Raw genomic sequence first — 19963 nt, forward strand, 5'->3', positions numbered from 1 at the left:
TTAATGTTGATTTGAATCTTCCCAGTGATATAATCTCAGAATAGTAAGTTGGAAACTGGATGGGGTGGCCTGTTAGACTGAGAACTAGAGGTCATAAGGCAGAGTGCATTTCTTCCTTTTTATTCTTATTATCCAAATGGTTAAGGGGCCCCAACACTACCTTAGATTCCAAAATTTACTAGGACTAATAAGATTCAGCATAGAGCCATAGCCATGGTAAGATTTATTATAGTAAAATGATCCAAAGCAAAACCAGCAAAGGAAAAAGGTGCATGGAGAAAGTTCACAGAAAACCAGGCTCAAGCTTCCAAGGCTCCTCCCCAAAGGAGTCTCACAAGATGTGCTTAATTCATTCAGCAATCTGTTGCGAGAATATACATGAAATGTTGTCTACCCAAGAAGCTCATTAGAGACTCAGTTCCCAGGGCTTTTATTGGTGACTGGTCATCTAAATATCCTCTACTTACTACATACCCAAATTCTAGACTCCCAGAAGAAAAACAGGTGTTCAGTAGACATCACATTGTTTGTATGAATATTTTAGGTACAGTGTATCACCTTTATCTGTTAAAGAATGGTAGGAACACTCCAGAAATCCAATGGCCCACCTTGCAAATAGTCCTTTCTAAGGATAGATAGCTATCTCACTTCAGGCCTATTATTGAAGTGTCTACTACATACTGGATTTCTTCCTCCCTACTGTGTGAGTTATTAATATTTTGCCCAGTTTTAGTAATTCTTCTAACAACAAATATGGAAAAGTGAAGAAATTAGTCCATTTGCATTTTCATTAGTAAAACTTTTAAAGATTTAACAGAGAATAATGTTGAAAATATACAAACATATACATTTACCGTAGGTTACATGTAGTCTTGCTACATCCTTTTTCCACTGAACTGCATATTTAATGAGAAAATTAAGTTTGCTTCATATCTTATATATTCTGCACTTTATTGAACTTATTAGTTGCTTTTATTCTTTTTTCTTAAACTTTCAATTTTGAGATAACTGCGGATGCAAATGTATTAGTAAGAAATATACCCTCCACCCATTTTTCTCCAGTGGTAACATATTGCATAACTATACTACAATATCACAGCCAAGAAATTGACATTGGTAGATTTATTCAGACTTCACCAGTTTTACACATATTCATGTATATGTGCATATGTCTTTGGTTTTATCAAATTTTCTCACATGTGTAGATTCTCATAACTACCACTACAGTCAGGGTGGAGAACAGTTCTGTTGCCATAAGGATTCCTCGTGTTGGCCTTTCTATCCACACTCTCCCTCCGTCTCCACTCCACTCCCTAATCCCTCATAACTACTAATCTTTTTCTCTATGTCTATAATTTTATCATTGTAAGAATGTTGTATGAATGAAATCGTACAGTATATAACTTTTGGGACTGGGCTTTTTCATTCAGCATAATTCCCTTGAGATCCATCCAAGTTTCCTGCATCAATAGTTCATTCTTTTCTATTGCTGAGTAGTATTCCATTGTATGGATGTACCATGGTTTGTTTAACCATTCACCCATTGGCAGGCATTTGGGTAGTTTCCACTTTTTGGTTCTTACAAATAGAGCTGCTATAAATATTTACACATTTTGCCATGAAAATAAATTTTTAGTTTTCTCTGATAAGTGCCCCAGGGTGCAATTGCTGGGTTACATATAGTTGCATGTTTATTTTTATAAGAAGTGGCCAAATTATTATCTCATAAGAAAATCATAAGAGATAAAGTTTTCTGCATCCTTACAATCATTTATTGTTATTCCTGTTTTGCCATTCTGATAGACTGGTAATATCTCATTTTGGCTTTAATTTTAATTTCCCTAAAGTCTAATAATGTTGAACATATTTTCATGTGCTCTGTTGCTCTCTGTATATCGTCTTAGGTGAAATGTTTATTGCTCATTTTCTAATTAAATTTAAAAAATTGTTAAATTTTGAGAGTTCTTTACATACCCTAGATATTAGTTGTCACATATTTGTAAATATTTATTTCTAATCTCTAGCTTGTCTTTTCATCTTTTTAACAGGATTTTCACAGGGCAAAATTTTAAATTTTGATGTCCAATTTATTTTATGAATAAATTTATAAATTTATTTAAAAATTTAAAATTATTTAAAAAATTATTTTACGATTCATGAATCATTTATTTTATGAATCATACTTTCATATCAAGTCTAAGAGCTTTTCTTCTACCTACCCTTATGTCCTGATGATGTTTTCCTAGTTTTTTCTAAAAGTTTTATAGTTTTGTATGTTATATATTTAAAGTGACTGCCTACAGCAGCAATTTTCAGCAAAAAAACCACCTTAATGTTGCAAATGGTGAAACACTAGACGTGTTTTGCCACTGTATAATTGTCAGATTTGTGTGAATACATGTATTCTGTTGTAGAGTACAGATTGCTTGCTGCTAGTGGTGAGAAGTAGTAGACTGAGACAGAAATAACCTTTAAATATTTATTAAATTGTCATTCCTTGAATTAAATTTTATCGTGTGTCCATCTCAACTTATTTCTTTTATGTGACCTGAATAATTGAAACAATGAGAAACAAAAGGCACGAAAAGTTATAGTAAATAATGTGGTATTCCTTATTTATTTTTCTAGAAATATGAGATTAAAAATTTTTTTTAGTGCAGAAAGACCATTTTATCTTGTAGAATTACCTTTTAAAAGCATTTTGTAAGTGCTTATTCAGAGATGTCTCAGGAAAAAATTACCATTTCAGATTTTAAATGAAACTATATAACAATGTTTGGCCATTATGTAGTTCCTCTCCAAGCCACACTTGATCTCCAATCTTGTTCATCCTTAACAAGATCAAGCACATCTTCAAACTCAATTCCATGTAATGTCTGATTCTGGATGGTTTTTTTTTTTTTTTACCAAATTCTGCTTGACACAGAAAACCATTAAATTAGGCTTTTAGCTTGCAATGGCTTTCTTTCTATGCTTTCCACACACCAGAATACAGTTCACTTCCTGGCAGCTAAAAAGATTAGCTTTTTGAACCTTTCTCAGAAGGAAAAAAATCCCCCCTTTTAATGCAAAAGTTAAAATTGCTGGGAAGGTTTTCTGTGCCTGTGGATCTGGGGTCCAGAACAATGCAATTAAAATATATCACGCTGTTAAAAATGACTGAACTGCCCTCTAGGTGGCAGACTACCATTATTTTTTCCTTAGCTTTAGGCATGTTCTTGCTTATCAACAAGTCACCAAGTAGCGCAGACGCCTGTTCCCAGTTCCAAGAATCATCCAATTTTTAAACACTTTTTAATTGATTTCTCTGTCTTCTAAAGTTGTCTTGGACTTCTATTTTGTTTTGACTCACACTGATGTCATGTCTCACTGTTCAGACATTCTATGTCGATTATTTGAAAACATACTACTGTTTCCACCCTAATAAATTTCGTATACACTTACACACACTCTAAAATCATTCACTGGCATTTATACAGTGAATATGTCCAATAGCACTACTCATATAAATAAAACCCAAGAATGTTAATGTAAAACAAGTTTATTTCATACCATTTCTCAACTAAATGATGCTATATAAACAAAATGTATAAGCTACATTTTTATGGCGTATATAAAATTTTGCTTAAAGTTAGCATTTATGTGGTGAGGATATTGATTTGAGAGTCAAAAACAATCACAGGTCATTTCTAGTATGTCTGATAATCTCCTGATGCATAAATTGTCTATCAAAAATTAAAATGAAAGCTCTCTTTTAATTGTACTAAAAGGCATTTAATATTTGTTTTCTAGTCCTTTTAACAGTAAGTTTTGTTTCATGATTTTTGAAGAAAAATATTAATTTCAAATTATATTTTTTCTGTGTTACAGGATTTTGAGGTAAAATTTAAAATAAATTTATGAATTAGTATGCCATTTTGAAATAAAATTTTAGGGGTTGGAGAATTTCAGGTTGGCTTATTTTTAGTGACTGTAACAAAGTCAGAATACATTAGAACCAGTAATATTTTCATTGTGTCAGAAGAAAAATTTTGGAGATACTACTCTTTCTAGATTTAGAGTATTATACAAACCCAGAAGTAATGTAATTCTCATATATCGAATAAACACATTTCTATGAAAAAGAGCTACCTTCTGAGGTTATATGGAATATCAGTCACAGAAACTGGATGTAGAGACAAGTTTTCATAGCTGCTTGATGCTTTTAGTCATGGGGCCACAAAGAGATTAATCTTGAGAATGATGACAAAATATGATAGGAATTTCTTACTCTCAGATGCTCTTTATTATTTTTTCAAACCCTGAAATTCCTGTGTGTTCTCTGTATTTCTGACAAAAACTCATGAGTACTGATTGTCTCTCATGTTCCCTGGAAGAAATAATTTAATTGCATATCACATCTAACAGTCTCCCAATTTTCTTTTCTTTCTTTTCTTTTTTTTTTTTTTAAATTATGTGCTGGAGAAAATCTTGCTAGCCACATATCTGACCAAAAATATAAATATCTGTAATATCTTGTAGCTAGAATACACAAATAACTGAAAGCTCAACAATAATACAAATGACCCAGTCAGAAAATGAGTAGCAGACACTTCACTGAAGAGGGTATGCAGATGGCAAATAATCTCATGCAAAAATATTCAACACCATTAAACATTAGGGAAATAAAAATTAAAGCCATAATGAAATATAACTATGCCCATGTCAGAATGGCTAGAAGACAGTGATAGCCCCAGATGCTGATGAGGATTCTGAGAAACGGGATCACTCATATTTTGATGGTAGAAATGTAAAATGGTGCAGTCGCTATGGAAAATAGTTTGGCAGTTTCTTATAAAAATCAGCCTGTGTTAAAGAAAAAACTTTAGATAAACTTAGTTTAGCAAATGATCACGTAAACTCTGAGCAAAGAACAATTCATGAATTGGGTAGCACCCTGAGCCAGTAGAGATTTGGAGAACTCCATCCAACAATGTGGGCAGACATTATTTATAGACAGAAAGAGAAAGTAACATATAGAAACAGCTTGGTTGTTTACAGCTCAGCATTGGCCTTATGTTCACATGGTCTGATCAGTTGGCAGCCTGTGATTGGCTGCAGCTTGGCTGCTGGTGATTGGCTATGACTCTCGTTACGGTAGATTCTGATTACAGAAATATATTCTCGAGTTAGGTTTCAGTTTGTTTACATACTAAGTTTGCTTGCGGTTCCCTTAGTATGGCAGCCGATTTAGGCCAAATTTAATTTAGTTTAACACATGCGATTACCATGTGACCTATTGATTGTACTCTTGGACATTTAGCTCAGAGAAATGAAGACATATGTCTAAACAAAAACCTGTCCATGAATGTTTACAGCAATTTTATTGGTAATAGCCAAATGTCTGTTAATGAGTGAATGGTTAAAGTGTAGTACATTTGCACTGTGGGACACTACTCAGCAATTAAGAAGAAAAAACTACTGAAAATCACTAGAGAATAATGCCCAGTAAAATCATAAAAGGTTACATACTGCATGATTTCACTTACATAACACTCTTGAAATAACAAAACTACAGAGATAGAAAACAAATTGTTGCCACAAAAGGTTAGAAATGGGAGAGTGGATGTGGCTTTAAAGAACCACCACAAGGGAATCTTTAGATATAACTGTTCCATATCTTGATTGTGATGGTTGTTACCTGAATATATACATGTGATAATATTGCCTGCAAATATAAACACACGCACACAAATGCATGCACAACTGGCAAATTCTGAAACAACTCTGTGGGTTGTATCAGTTTCCTTGTGATCTTGTACTATAGTTATGCAAGATGTTAAAATTAAAGGATGCTGGATAAAAGGTGCATGAGACCTCTTCAACTTCTTTTTTAATCTTTCTATGAATATATAATTATTTCAAAATAAAAAACCAATATGCTTATTTTTTTCAAGAGATTATGCTATGCTAATTTCCCAGAGTAAACTAGTTACCATTTTTGTTATCCTTATGATTACGTAAGTTTAATTTTAAAAAGAGATACAATTTCTAGACACAAAAGTGTAAAATGCAAAAATGTTTTGTTTAAATTATTTTTTTTTCAGGAATCTGCACTCCTCTTAAGCCTTTCAATGTGTCATACATGTTCTAGGACTATTCTCACTTAGTAGTTTCTTAGCATTCTGCTTCTTTGCCATATGTGAGGTGCAGTCAGGAATTTATTTTCCTCCCCATTTGATCTAGATTAAGCTATTTGGCTCTTGCTCCTAAGAAATCCCAAAATACTATGAATCAAAATGAAGGCATGCATGTGATAACTCTCATGTAGACTTTTATGATTCTGGAAGAACTCTTAATGTTTCCTTAGTGAAAACATTAACTTTATGCTAAAGTAAATTTCTAATATAATACCATTGGTATTACTAGAAATTTTCTAAATGTTTCTGAGAAAACATAAGTGGGATACCTAAAAAGAAAAATCTAGTTCTCCAAGACCAACTAAAATCACAGTGTTATGGCAACAGCAAGACTGTGGCTTTGAAAAATGATCATTTATTTTTAGGAAGCATTAAACCTCAACATCTTGGTTCTTATATGTGATTCCAGAATGAATCTCCTTTGAGGCTGGCCTTCCTGAATTAAGGATATATTTTAGGGCCAAGTTCAACAGTTTTTAAGCAATTAAAAATCTTTGACCTGTTTACAGACCTCACCAGGTTTTCTCTGCTCTCAATTAATTCTTTTTTTCTTTTCTTCCTACCCTGAGAGGCTTTGGAGCTGAGCTTTTAAAACTTCTTGACAAACAACTTTTCTCTTAAGACACCAAATCTTCTCCTTACTGCTTGGAGTGTGAGATAGTGGTGTGTGTGACCCACAGGGCCAAGCAGTCAGAATTAGACCACAGTGGCATTTATTAAGCATTCTTCTGCAGTGTGTGTGTGAGTGGTGTGGGATGGCTGTTTGAGTAGGAAGAATAAAGTGGCCAAGACATGTACCAAAATGGACAGGATAGTTTTTTCAGTGTTGCATATTATGCCATGGATTAAGCCTGACATAAATTTCTCCATATTAATTTAAGAAAAATTTATAATTTAAAACCTCTACATGCTATGGTAAGAGTACCGTGTTTAGAATCAAGAGATCTGGGTTAGAGCTGTCTAACCCAGATTGACTTTCTAATTTTATGATCTTGTATGAAGTTAATTTTGTGTTCTTTAATACTCTTGTGTAAAGTGAGGCCTGTAATACTGTCTTAAAATAGCTTTCATGAAGATTAAATAGGTTAATGTACATGTAAAATAAAATTTCAATGCTTTAAATAAAATTTAAAACCTATTTAAATATAAGATGCTATTGCTCTTTAACAATCATTATGATTTAGTTAATATACTTAAATCTACATGTGTGATGTGTGAGTATATTATGTATGTGTATGTAAATATACTTCATGAAGTGTGAACATACACCTTTATATTTCTTTTTAAACCAGTACATGTCCAGTGCCTAGCATATGGAAGACACTTAATAAATATATGCTGAATGAATAGATGAATGAACTTAGAATTTTCAAATCTAAATAATTTATTCTAATTTAATCAGTATCAGGTAAATAATAAGCACAGAAACTGTTAGAACAAGAACTGAATTATAGCATCTCCTACATGAAATTAAATAATTTTAGAAATGGTGGTAAATGTTTAAGTTTTTTACTTGTATTAGCACAGATATAAGCATCAATCATGACATCTTTCTGCTCATAAACCTTAAGTAACTCCCATTGCTCCTATTGCTTAGAAAATAAAATCCAATTCTTTAGTGTGGGACTAACCTTTTCAAATTTATTTTCCATATTACAATCTTGCTTCTTTTGGATATTTCTTATGTATCACCCCACTTTCCCCTTTCCCCACTCTCTTGCCACCTTGCCTGTGTCCAGGCTTTATCCTCTTTGAAATGCCCTTCAACTTATTTCTGTAGAATTCAATCCCACCCATCTGTCAAGTTCTGTCCCTAATGCCACTGCCTGTATGGAGCCTATGCAGGTATCCTCAGATAGAGGTAACCTCTTTCTACCTAAGTATTCATTCCACTTTATGTTTGCCCCCTTGAGACCTTTTTCACTTCCTAATCTAGATTATAAACTTTTTTTTTGGTAGCAGATTCTATGTCTCATTTACTTTTATATTTACAAAATTTCCTGCATTGTAAATATACAACAGTTGCTTGTTTATTGAACAAACTGAATGCATATGAATTGTCATGCTTCTGCTTGTGAAAGACATGCATTTTTCAATAATTGTTATGCACAATAAGGAATATATAGGTGTCCATGATTTTGGCATACTTATCATCATTATGGCTAATTGATTTTGGCAAAAGTGCCAAGGTAATTGTATTGGGAAATGACTTTTTTTTCAACAAACAGTTCTGGAACATTTGGATAACTTATGCCAAAAGCAAAGCAAAATAAAACAAAAAAAGGAATTAAAACTCTTGCTTCACCAGTAACAAAAATTAACCCATAATGGATCATATTCTTAAATGTAAGCACTAAAAGTATAAAACTTCTAGAAGAAAACACAAAGAAAATCTTTGTGTTCTTGAGTTATGCCAAGAGGTCTTAGATTTGACATCAATAGCAAGATCCATAGAAGGAAAATGGTAAATTAGACTTTAAATTAAAAATTAAATGTTTATTCCTCAAAAGACACTAGTAAGAGAGAAGAAAAGACAACCCAGAGAATTTGAGAAAGTATATGTTAATCATATATCTGAGAAAGGACTTGTACCCAGAATATATGAATAAAGACAGAGAAAACCAAGTGCTGTCAAGAATATAGAGAAATGAGAATCCTGATACATTGTTCATGGAAATGGAATGTAACACAGCCACATTGGAAAGCAGTTTTATTATATCATTATAAAGTTAAACATACACTTGCCATGTGATGTAGAAATTTTACCTTTAGGTATTTACCCAATAGAAATGAAAACAAATCTTTCCACAGAGACTTCTATGTTAATGTGGATAGTAGCATTGTTCATAATAGCTCGAAACTGAAAGCAATCCAAATATATCCAACTGATGAATATGTGAACAAAATGAAGCATATCCTTACAATGGAATATTTTCTGGAAATGAAAAGGAACAAAACAGTGGTGCATGTAACATTTATGAACCTCAGAAACATCTTAAGTGAAAGAATACTTATGTATGTAATGATTCAACCTGTAAGTTTCTACATATGACAGAACTGTAGAGATAGAAAGCAGATCAGTGGTTGCCTGGTGCTGGGAGTGGAGACTGCCAACAAATCGTCATGCTGGAACTTTTTGGAAATGTTTTAAAATAGAATTGGAATGTTGTTTTTAAACATATATTAATTTAATAAAACCCACTGTTACACTGATAGTGGGTGTATTTCATGGTGTGTAAATTATACTTCAGTAAATCTGATGAAAGAGAGAGAGATTTTATTTAAATTTTGAGATCAGGAAAAGTCTAAGGAAATAAAATTTAAGCTTAGACCTAAAATATGAATAGGAATTAGGGAATAAAATTGCTGTTAAACAGAGACTGATCATATCAAACATGTAGAGAGGCACTAAACGTTTACTTGAATGAATGAATAAATAAAGGAAGTAAGGATTGGAAACTTCATTGGAAAGAACTTACAACCTCTCAAAACCATTATGATTTGAATTAGTTCCTTGTTAGAAATATTTGTTCTACCTTTTATTGATTCCAACTCTGCTTTCCTATAGATTATATTTATTGATCCTATCTCTCTAAATCTGGAGCTATGCGGATGTCTGTGCTTTCACAAGTTTATATAAGAGTAGCATGCTATTTTATAGTCTTCTCCAGGATACACTCCATAATTTCCTTAACCGTTTCTTACCTGACTTGTTTTATAGAACCTTTATTATTTGGATTGTTGGTAACTTTGCTGTGTCTTCTTTTTCTATTCAAATACGATTTTGAGAACTGAGTGCAATTTATGTACTGCATAGACTTGGAACCATTAGGGAGTAGCTTAGCTCAGTCTTTTGTCCCTAGTTACAGAGCAGACATTAATAGAGCCCAGGGTTGAGGAAGCTTTGGGGATTTTATTATAACATTGAATAAATGGTGTTCAGTGTCAAATAAAACCTTTTTTTCTTCTTTCTAACATATGCTTCAGCTCAATTGCCTTATCTCTCTCAAGTTACCATAAAATTAAATGTCAAAAATGTTATATTTATCACTTTTTTTTAAAATAAAGGTTAAGTTTATCCAGACTAAAATTGTTTTGGATTTTCATTCATTGACAAAATATTTATTGAGCATCTGCATTAGATACACATGGTAGACAAGAAAGTGAGGTGCTTGCTCTCAAGGAGTGCATATTCTAGTGACTTTATTTCACCCTAGAATATGAGCACATCGTTTTTTCTTTTCTGTCTTAATCCAAGCATTTAAAAGTAAAGAGTTCAAGGCTAAGAGTGGAGTAGTGTGGCACATTTCTGGAAACCTTTCACAAAACTCTCTCTAGTAGATTAATAAGTACTATGTCATTTAACCAGCACAATAATTATTCCTGAACTTTGCAATTCAACCTGAATTCCTGATATATTATGCCTTCCATCTTTCCCTGTGCCATCGCTCCAGTCTCTCTAAGAAGGAAATGAATTTAATGTATTGTTAGAGATAGAAGATCCTGGTTAGTCTTCCAAGGGCTACCATTATATTGCCCAGGATTAGGGTCCTTCTTGTTATAATGTTAAGTTCATTGGCTTGTAATAGAGATGGAAATAGTTGTAGTACAGGTAATAATAATAGCTTCACTCATCACTTACTAGCTTTAATACACAATATCAAGTGTTTAAATATTATTTTACTTTATCTTCACAATAGCTTCATGAAGTAGGTCCTATATTATCCCCATCTTATGTATGAGGAAAGAGAATCATAGAATATTAAGTAACTTGACAAAAAAATCACATAACTTATGAGGGCTGCAGTGACTCCCTGGTATCCTAACCATCATGTTATATTACCTCCATGAAAATCGGAACCCTTGCATCTCCTGTCTAATGCAATGCCTCAATGCCTGCCAGGAAGATAAACTTGTTAGTAAGGAAGACATGAACTTTTTGTCTCAACTTTTATTTCAGGATCAGTGGGTACATGTGCAGGTTTGTTACAAAGGTATATTATGCAATGCTGGGAAATGGTGTATGAATGAATTCCCCACCCAGCTAGTGAGCATAGTACCCAAAAGTTAGTTTTTCAACCCCTTTCCTGCTCCCTTCTCCTCCCTTTTGTAGTCCCCGGTGTCTATTGGTTCCATCTTTGTATCCATCTGTACCCAATGTTTAGCCCTCACTTAGAAGTGAGAGCATATGATATTTGGTTTTCTGTTCCTGCGGTAGTTTGCTTAGGATAAACGTTTCCAGATGTATCCACATTGTTGGAAATGTATTTTTTATGGCTGTATCGTATTCCATGGTGTATTTGTACTGCATTTTCTTTGTTTAATCCACCATTGATGGCCATCTAGGTTGATTCCATGTCTTTGCTAATGTGAATAGCATTGTGATGAACATATGGGTGCATGATGGAAGACATGAATTTTAGTAGATGTTCTGCATATAAGAAATTCAAATGGAATGTTAGACATGACTTGTCCTGAATTTCCATGAAACTAATAAAGCTGTGGCTTTAGGGGCCCTAATTTACATGTTTCCTCCAAAGATTTGTTCCCTAATTAGAGATTTAAAATTCTGGGTTTTTTTTTTTTAACAAGGACCACCAAAATTGTGTAAGTGTATCCCCAAAAAACTTCTATCTGCTCTTGTGCATCATTTTTTTTGTTAATTTTATTTACCTATTCTTCCATCAGGAAGTTTTATTGGCCTTAATTTCCAAACTTTTTCAATTTTTCATCCTCTCTAAGTTCTTTCTCCTGCTCCTCTTGTATTCCTTTTTCTCTCTGATTAAAAACCATCTCTTTGTCTTATTTGGATGAATTTATCTCTTTCCTCCCATGTTTTGGTCTTCAGATAGGTTTTCCCCAAAGTGGGACATTTTTCTCAAGGATAGATCCCACAAGAAAAGGAATTATTATGCCAACTTTTTTTTTTCTTCCTGAGAAGGAGTCTCGTTCTGTCGCCCAGGCTGGAGTGCAGTGGCACCATCTCGGCTCACTGCAACCTCCGCCCCCTGCGTTCAAGCAATTCTCCTGCCTTAGCCTCCTGAGTAGCTGGGATTACAGATGCGTGCCACCACGCCTGGCTAATTTTTATATTTTTAGTAGAGACGGGGTTTTGCCATGTTGGTCAGGCTGCTATCGAACTCCTGACCTCGTGATCCACCCGCCTTGGCCTCCTAAAGTGCTGGGATTACAGGCGTGAGCCACCGTGCCCGGCCCCACGCCAACTCTTAAGATAAAAATGTCTTCAACCTCTTTACATAGATTTTTACTTCCATTTGCTTTCAGCATTGAACACAGACTCTCCAACTTATTTCCATGAAAATATCAACAGGTCTGTTTTTTATGAAAATGGTATAATCGTCTATTGCTGTATTATAATTTTAACTCATATTTCTGCCTTAAGTCAAAACTATAATTTTGTATCATTCTCTTTTTTAAAATTCCAAATTCATATTGGTACTCGTGATACAGATGATTAGGGCTAAAAGTACTATTTCCATTTCCTCCCATAGTCTATTTACATATGAATCACTTCCTACAGTCTAAGCACTCAATCTGTTTTCTTCTAGTTTATGTTATAAAAGTAGACAAACAAGGAGGTCTTTATATATATTTGTATGTGTATTGATCATGAAGACTATTTTTAGAATGTGATGAAAGATGTGTACTATCTCCATAAATATACACATATATAACATATTACTTCTATACCATCAGGGGACTGACTTTTTGAAGCCCACCTATAATTTCCCAGGCCCACCAATACCAGACTAAGTATCTTCACAGTACAATTACTAAAATCTAGAATAGGTAACAATATGTGCTGAATTACTTTGAAAATTTATTTTTATTCTCCATAGTGTCGGTTTTTTGTTATGTTCTTTGAGAGCTGAGGAAATGTTCTGCATGTATGCAAATTTTTGGATCACTACGTTCTTGAATCATTACCATTTTGCTGAGGACACTAGTAATGTAGCTGATTTAAGTCTTTAAGTCTCCTAGTGAGGTTTATTATTTTTTTTCCAGAACAATGTGACTCTTCTCTTTTAAAACCCATTAAGGGATGAAAAAGTCATTAGGATGTGAATGTGGATATCTCAGGAATTGATGTACTACATTTGGAGCTGTTATATTAATGAAAGCGAGATTATCATAGAAATGAATCATATAGCCATAAACTTGTAACACACAGTGGGATCCATTAGTATGTCAGTGGAAATGATGTGATATTATCAAAGAATATGTGATTTGTCTTAATGGAGAGAAAGTGTGAGCAGAACATATAGATGAATTTTAGAAAATTCTTAAGAGGATTTAAAAACTAAAACTATTTCTATATCTTAAAAGTCTTTAAAATAGGTTCTATTGTTGAAGAAGATTACATGCATATAATGATGTTATTTATTATATCAACTAACAAAGGTTGAAATTAATTACTGTAAGATTGTTAATTTTTACCTATCTTTTAATATGTGCAGAATTTCTGCTGATGTATAGACATGTCTTCTTTGCTTGCATCTGTTTTGGCAGCTTAAGACTCTGATATAAATTTCTTTCTCTGAAAGCCCTTCAAATCTCCTGTTTTAAAAAGTAGCTTTGGTATAGAGGTTGGGGATAAAATAAAGATACTAAAAGTTCGTCTTTTACTTTCAGTGACTGCAATTAGTGTGGAATTGTAACTTCCCTTCTCCATTAAAAATGTGAGTAGAGTTTAAGATGAATATATAGCAATTACTTATTCTCTAAGCTGAAAAGTTGCTTGAGTGGTTTAGTCTGAGTGTTATGATGAAAATTAGGGGCTATTGACCCTGATAAAAGAAACCTGGATTGAAGGTCCACTTAATTTTTTATCCAGAGATCCCTGGGAAGTCTCACCTAGCAAATGATAATTTGGAGTTTATGATTTTACTTTACTGTTATCTTCCAAATGACTTAGATCTTGAACTGAAAAAAGTATCTCACATCACAACCTGGAAATAATATCTTCATATAACTTCCTATCTTTCTTTTTGTATTCTGGAAAACATAAAAGGCTATATACACAAAATATATTTTCAGTATTTAACCAATCATGTATGTGGGTTATTGAAAATTTGTTAACAAAAATAACATATATAATCTGCTAGTTCAAAAATTTGATAATTTGTAAACTAAGGCTAATAACTATAGGAGAAAATTTTCATGAATGCGTTAATGTTTTATAGATACAATGATGATTTCTAGATATAAAAGCAGAAGGCTTAATAAGTTGATCAATTCATATTTATGAAATTGGCACAATAATTAATAAGGCAAGGAAAGCATTCTCTGACTCCACACGACAAACAATTAGATATTTTAAATAAAGTGTGAAAAGTGCCTGGTGATAGGAAATACAAAAAATGACAGGGGTACTAATAACTCAGACAGGTAGTTTAGGAAATTCTGAAACCCTAACTGGCTGGTCCTCCAAGTATCTCCACTGGTACACATCACAATGCCATGCACATTTCAGATGTTTAACAAATATTTGTTAAATGAATACATGAAGGTATCATGCATACCCTTAAGTACCTAACTGCTAGGGAGACAGACATGGAAAGAAGTCTTAATTATATGCTAATAATAATAACCACTTAGTAAGCATTTCTTTTGTGGGAGACCAACTATGCAGGCATTTTATGTCTATTATGTATAATGTTTTAAACAATCCTTAAAGATAATAATGATGAATTAGTAGCTGATATTTACATAATGCTTACTGTGTGCTAGTTTTTCCTTTTTGTTTGGTTGAGAAGGGTAACTTAGGGAGAAGGGAGTAAGGTGTGAGACACTTTTTCAATCAAAGGGTACATCCTGAGCAAAGGCAGAGAAATAGAAGAAAGAACAGTTTGTTCAGGAATAGAAGTAGTTATTCAATGATCAAATAATTTGTAAAAGATGTTTGGAATTCAGTTTTACCCTGGACCTACTGCCCCTCTGAACTTTATGTGACATGAATCATTACTTTCCATGAAAGGTGAGTGTTTTAATGTTAGATTAAATCTTACTCTTTCTGTAGTATATTTTGTTATATACAATGATCTTGGCTTCATTATGGCTGGCGGAAAGAAGGTCATGATCCCCTTTCTGTCATGCCAGAGAAGTATGAGTGTGACATCAGTGAGAGTCACAGTATGAGGAGAAATTATACCATACAGAACCTTAAAATTCTTATAAAAAGTTCTTTTACACTGTTGAAGGCTTATTCTCATAAAACAAGTAAATGGGTGAAGAGCAGCTGAAATCACTCTCAGACTCTCTTTCCTGCTTTCTGCCACTGCTTTTATATTAGAATAATGCAAAGAAAGAAACACGCATGTGATCTCAGCTCCACTAAAAAAGCCACTTTTGGGTTCTCTGTTTTTGAAATACGGCAAAAGTGATTTAAGCAAAGTATTAGTCACATGAGTGCAAGGAGATGACAAATTATAGGTGAAAGTGAGAAACCCCTCTAGGAGAGGTTTATAATAAAATTGTCAACACTGTCTTTAAGAGACTCAGCTGGAAGCTGCTAAGTCTCTAAAATCACTAGCCTCAGATTATCTTTCTTCTCCTTTATTGAAGCACTAACATCAACCACAGGTGGTAAGTGGTAGCCAATTATGCTCCCACTTTCAAAATTAATAGCATCGTGCAGTCTGACAGTCTCGTATTCTTGGCCTATGTGTTAACTGTTAGGCCACTGTTACTTTTTCACCAGTGAATACATTAAATTCAGCAACCAGAGCTGACCAGTGGGGCCCATCTGTCTCTCCCTCTTTCTCCTAATGAGCTGCTAGTCTGGGAATGACCAGCATCACCTGTCCAAGCAGCCGTCTTCTTGCCAGAGCCAAGCCACACCAGCGAGGCCTGCTTCTTGCCCCCACCTCTGGCGTCCAGGCATAGACACAGGTGAAATCTAGTGAAAGTGGCAAAGGGGACATAGAGCTATCTTAGCTTCATGTGTTTCTTGCTTGAGATTTAAGAGACAGAAAATATAAATACAGCATTTAATTAGCTACATTATCCCATACTACCTGAAGTTCTTTTGATTAATAAGATTGAGAGGTTTATCTACAGGCAGAACTCAAATTTTACATTATAATTAGTCTTCATATTTATCTCATAGTGCTCTCACCTCTGTTTTCTCCAGCCTTTTCTTGTTGTTGTTGTTGTTAACTGTATATTTAGTCTTCATATTTATCTCATAGTGCTCTTACCGCTGTTTTCTCCAGCCTTTTCTTGTTGTTGTTGTTAACTGTGAGCACATACGCGCTTCATTTCAATCCATGTCTTCATCAGTGGAAGTTTGGACTCCTGCAATAATCCTCTTACTGTAGTGCTCCCAAGACACCCCTCCCTCCCACTCCCACTTCCTGTTATTCCATCCTGCATATTTGTATCAGATTAATCTTCGTGTTGTAGTTTCTTCTTAGGAACCTTAAACAACTTTTAATATTTCTACTATATGAAATCTAATGCAATTTAGGGAGTAGGTAGCAGTGTGCCAGGAGATAAAAATGGCTTCAATGACCTACTTATCCAGTTATTTTTCTGTTCTTTATCTTATTTAAAAAATATATTTATTCTACTGCCAGACTCAATTCTGTGTGTTTTTGTTTTGGTAAATAATTTGCAATTTTTCTGATAAACTACTCTTATTATTTGTGGACAATTATTTCATATTTCTAGATAATTTCAAAGAACACAATTGCATCTATCATTTGAAAAGTATTCCACACATTTACATTCTACTCCATAATACATTTGTGTTCACCTAAAAACATTTCAAGTCAATTGCCATTGAATAAAGTTATAGTTCTAGAATATGTACCATGTTTATTTTGTGGAATTTTGAGGACCCAAACATATCACCTAGTATTTCAAGTTATACAGTCTTCAGTTGAGGAAGCTAGTTTTTACACTGTTTGTTTCTTTGGTGTTAAGATTTTTGCTTATTTGACTCACAATCTCATCTCCCACTTCCTCTTTGAAGACTACTTGGTGTACTTGGCTTTATAGGTGTTCCTCTTTTTTTAACTCTTAAAATATGAAACATCTCCCCATAATTTATTGAATATCTTATTTGGAAAAGGAAAGTATCAATTGTTCAGTGTTTGCCACATTCCATCTGTTTTAATTGTTTTGACTTAGACTATAAATTCCTTAAAGGGTAGAGGGCATGGTGCAGTGAACGAAGATATCAAGAACGCTTAATACTCTTTCGAGTATGAAATGAAATAGTTACATGAGTGGTTGGTTGTAGAAGGTTTCTTAAATTACTGACAAGAGTTGAAAAGGTGAAAATGGTTGATGTTTTTGTTCTGATAGTTGGATTTTCTTTTTTCAAAATACATTACCATGATTACTAACGACAGATAACTCTTCAGAGTGACCTTCTAGTGAAAAGAGTAATAAAATGTGCTTTCATTTGCACTTTTTTCTTTTTCTTTCTTTCTTTCTTTTTTTTTTTTTTTTTGAGACAGTCTTGCTCTGTCACCCAGGCTGGAGTGCAGTGGTGTGATCGCAGCTCACTGCAAACTCTGCCTCCCTGGGTTCAAGTGATTCTCCTGCCACAGTCTCCCTAGTAGCTGGGATTACAGACACACATCACCACACCCAGCTAATTTTTTATTTTTAGTATAGACGGGGTTTCGTCATGTTGGCAAGGCTGCTCTCGAACTCCTGACCTCAGGTGATCCGCCCGCCTTGGCCTCCGAAAGTGCTGGGATTACATGAGTGAGCCACTGCGCCCAGCCCATTTGTAGTTTTCTAGTTAGTTTTATTTTATTTCTTTTTCCTTTGTCAAAAGCTCTTCCTGATGAAAGTCACTTAAATAAATCATTAAATTGAGAGACAATGCTTGGTGCAAGGATAATCTAATCCATTGTTACTGTGACTACTAATGATTAATCTTTTTTCTAAATTCTTGTTACATTTGTGGTCTGTGCCACGCTATTCAATAGTTAGTTGCATGCTATATTTTCCTCTAGTAATTTTTATACAGAATTAGTTGACCTCATAAGGGCAGAATCTGTTCTTGCAAATACTTGTGGAACCCACTGTGCTGGGCACCCTAAATACTTAGCTGATTAGCATTCAAACCTGTGCTTAGACACAACTGAAAAATGAACAATATACCTACAGAGGAAAGTGCCTGAAGCTTCTCTTATTTCATGCTCAACTTGCATTTCATAATAATATGATGACCTTGTATGTGTATATAAACATTTACCTTTTCAAATGGTTTCACATTATAATCTTATTTCATCCTTTTTGGTATTTTATCCTACTGGTTCCTAACCTTTTATGATAACAGTGCCTGTGGTTGATTTTATAAACCACACATGACACTTGGAATTCGGTTCTTGTTATCCTTCGTGTCAGAGCAGTTTTAAATAATCTTTTAGTAGAAGACTTTTGCTTTTGAAAATCAAACACTATTTCCCTCAATTTTATAGTTTAGAAAGTTTTCTGTAGTCTCCCAAAATATTTTTAGCGTTCTGTTAATTTTCTCAGCACATCCAATGATAAGTTGTAACCCTTAAGGTTATACTCAACTTGTACTAATACAAAAGGTCACATCTGAAAAAACCCATTTCCCTCCCTCCCTCCCTCCCCCCCTTCCTTCCCTCCTTCCTTCCTTCCTTCCTTCCTTCCTTCCTTCCTTCCTTCCTTCCTTCCTTCCTTCCTTCCTTCCTTCATTCCTTCCTATCCTGTGACTCCCAGGACCATGATTATCAGTGTCTCTTCCATCTCATTTTCTTCCTTTTTTATTCAAGAGTCCCAGCTCCTTAGAAGTATACACCACTCACTATCCACAACTTCTACTAAGCTTCTTATGATTCTCTCATTCACTGAAAAATTAGCTCCCAGCTTATTATTGTCTTTCTCTCTACGCTTACAGCAGTCATTATTTTTGGTCAATTCAACATTCACATGGATGACACACCCAACATTCTGACTTCTTAAATCGTGAATCTTCTCATTTTGAAAAATCTGTTCTCTACTACCATGGTCATATATATCCTAAACCTTGTCACTTTGGTAACTATATCAGCTCCTGTTTTTTCAGTTCATTTACTTTAGTATTTCCAAATTCCAAAAGTCCTTTTATCTAATCAAAACCTTATATCCATATTTACTTTCCATCATGCTTCTCTAATTTTTGCTTCCTTCATACCTATCAGAGAGTCCACAGTTCAGTTACATAGCTTCTGTAACAATCTCAACTTCCTTGCCTCTTTTTTCCCCTATTTATTCAACTGTCAAAATTCTAAACTTGATTTATACCAAATTGTTTTCCTTTTCTGTGACTATCCTAGAGAAGCTGGATATTTTTAAAAATAAGAATCACAGAACCATGTTAACTTCTTTTTCTTTAAGTTAGTTAACACACAAATTTAGTTAGCACTTAACTCCATCAGATAATTTTGCTACCTTTTCCTAGTGACTTTAGTTTTCCACTCTCTGTAAACTATTCTAGTTCCTTGTCTCTTCTTATCATATTCTCTCATCATGTCAGCTGATGAACTCACATCATACTTCCAGTTAACAAATCTGTTGTATGTGTACTCATAGTTTCTGCCTCACTACTTGCACAATAGTTGAAGTATCCCTCTTTCTATCAAAGGCCATCCTCCTATGTACCTATGAGTCTCATCCCTCCTTAACTTCCCCAAATTCATGTCTGTTGCTCTTTTTCCCCCTTTCTGCTTTATCACTGTGTTTCCCACCCTCTATGATCATTCAACAATGCATATAAACATGTTCTCCAATCAACC

General features: G+C 34.0%; 2 long non-coding RNA genes across 2 annotated transcripts in view; one reads left to right on the forward strand and one right to left on the reverse strand.

The window, feature by feature from the left end:
- LINC02233 (long intergenic non-protein coding RNA 2233) overlaps positions 1 to 16432 on the reverse strand; it is a 111282-nt gene extending 94850 nt beyond the window's left edge. Inside the window, exon 1 of the long non-coding RNA NR_146278.1 lies at positions 16318 to 16432. This is a non-coding gene — a long non-coding RNA (long intergenic non-protein coding RNA 2233). The remainder of the gene's footprint in view (positions 1 to 16317) is intronic.
- Positions 1 to 19963, forward strand: part of LOC107986324 (uncharacterized) — a 487144-nt gene that overhangs the window by 221030 nt on the left and 246151 nt on the right. The window lies entirely within an intron of this gene.

The sequence above is a fragment of the Homo sapiens genome, chromosome 4 (assembly GCF_000001405.40).
Source record: "Homo sapiens chromosome 4, GRCh38.p14 Primary Assembly".
NCBI classification, from domain to species: domain Eukaryota; kingdom Metazoa; phylum Chordata; class Mammalia; order Primates; family Hominidae; genus Homo; species Homo sapiens.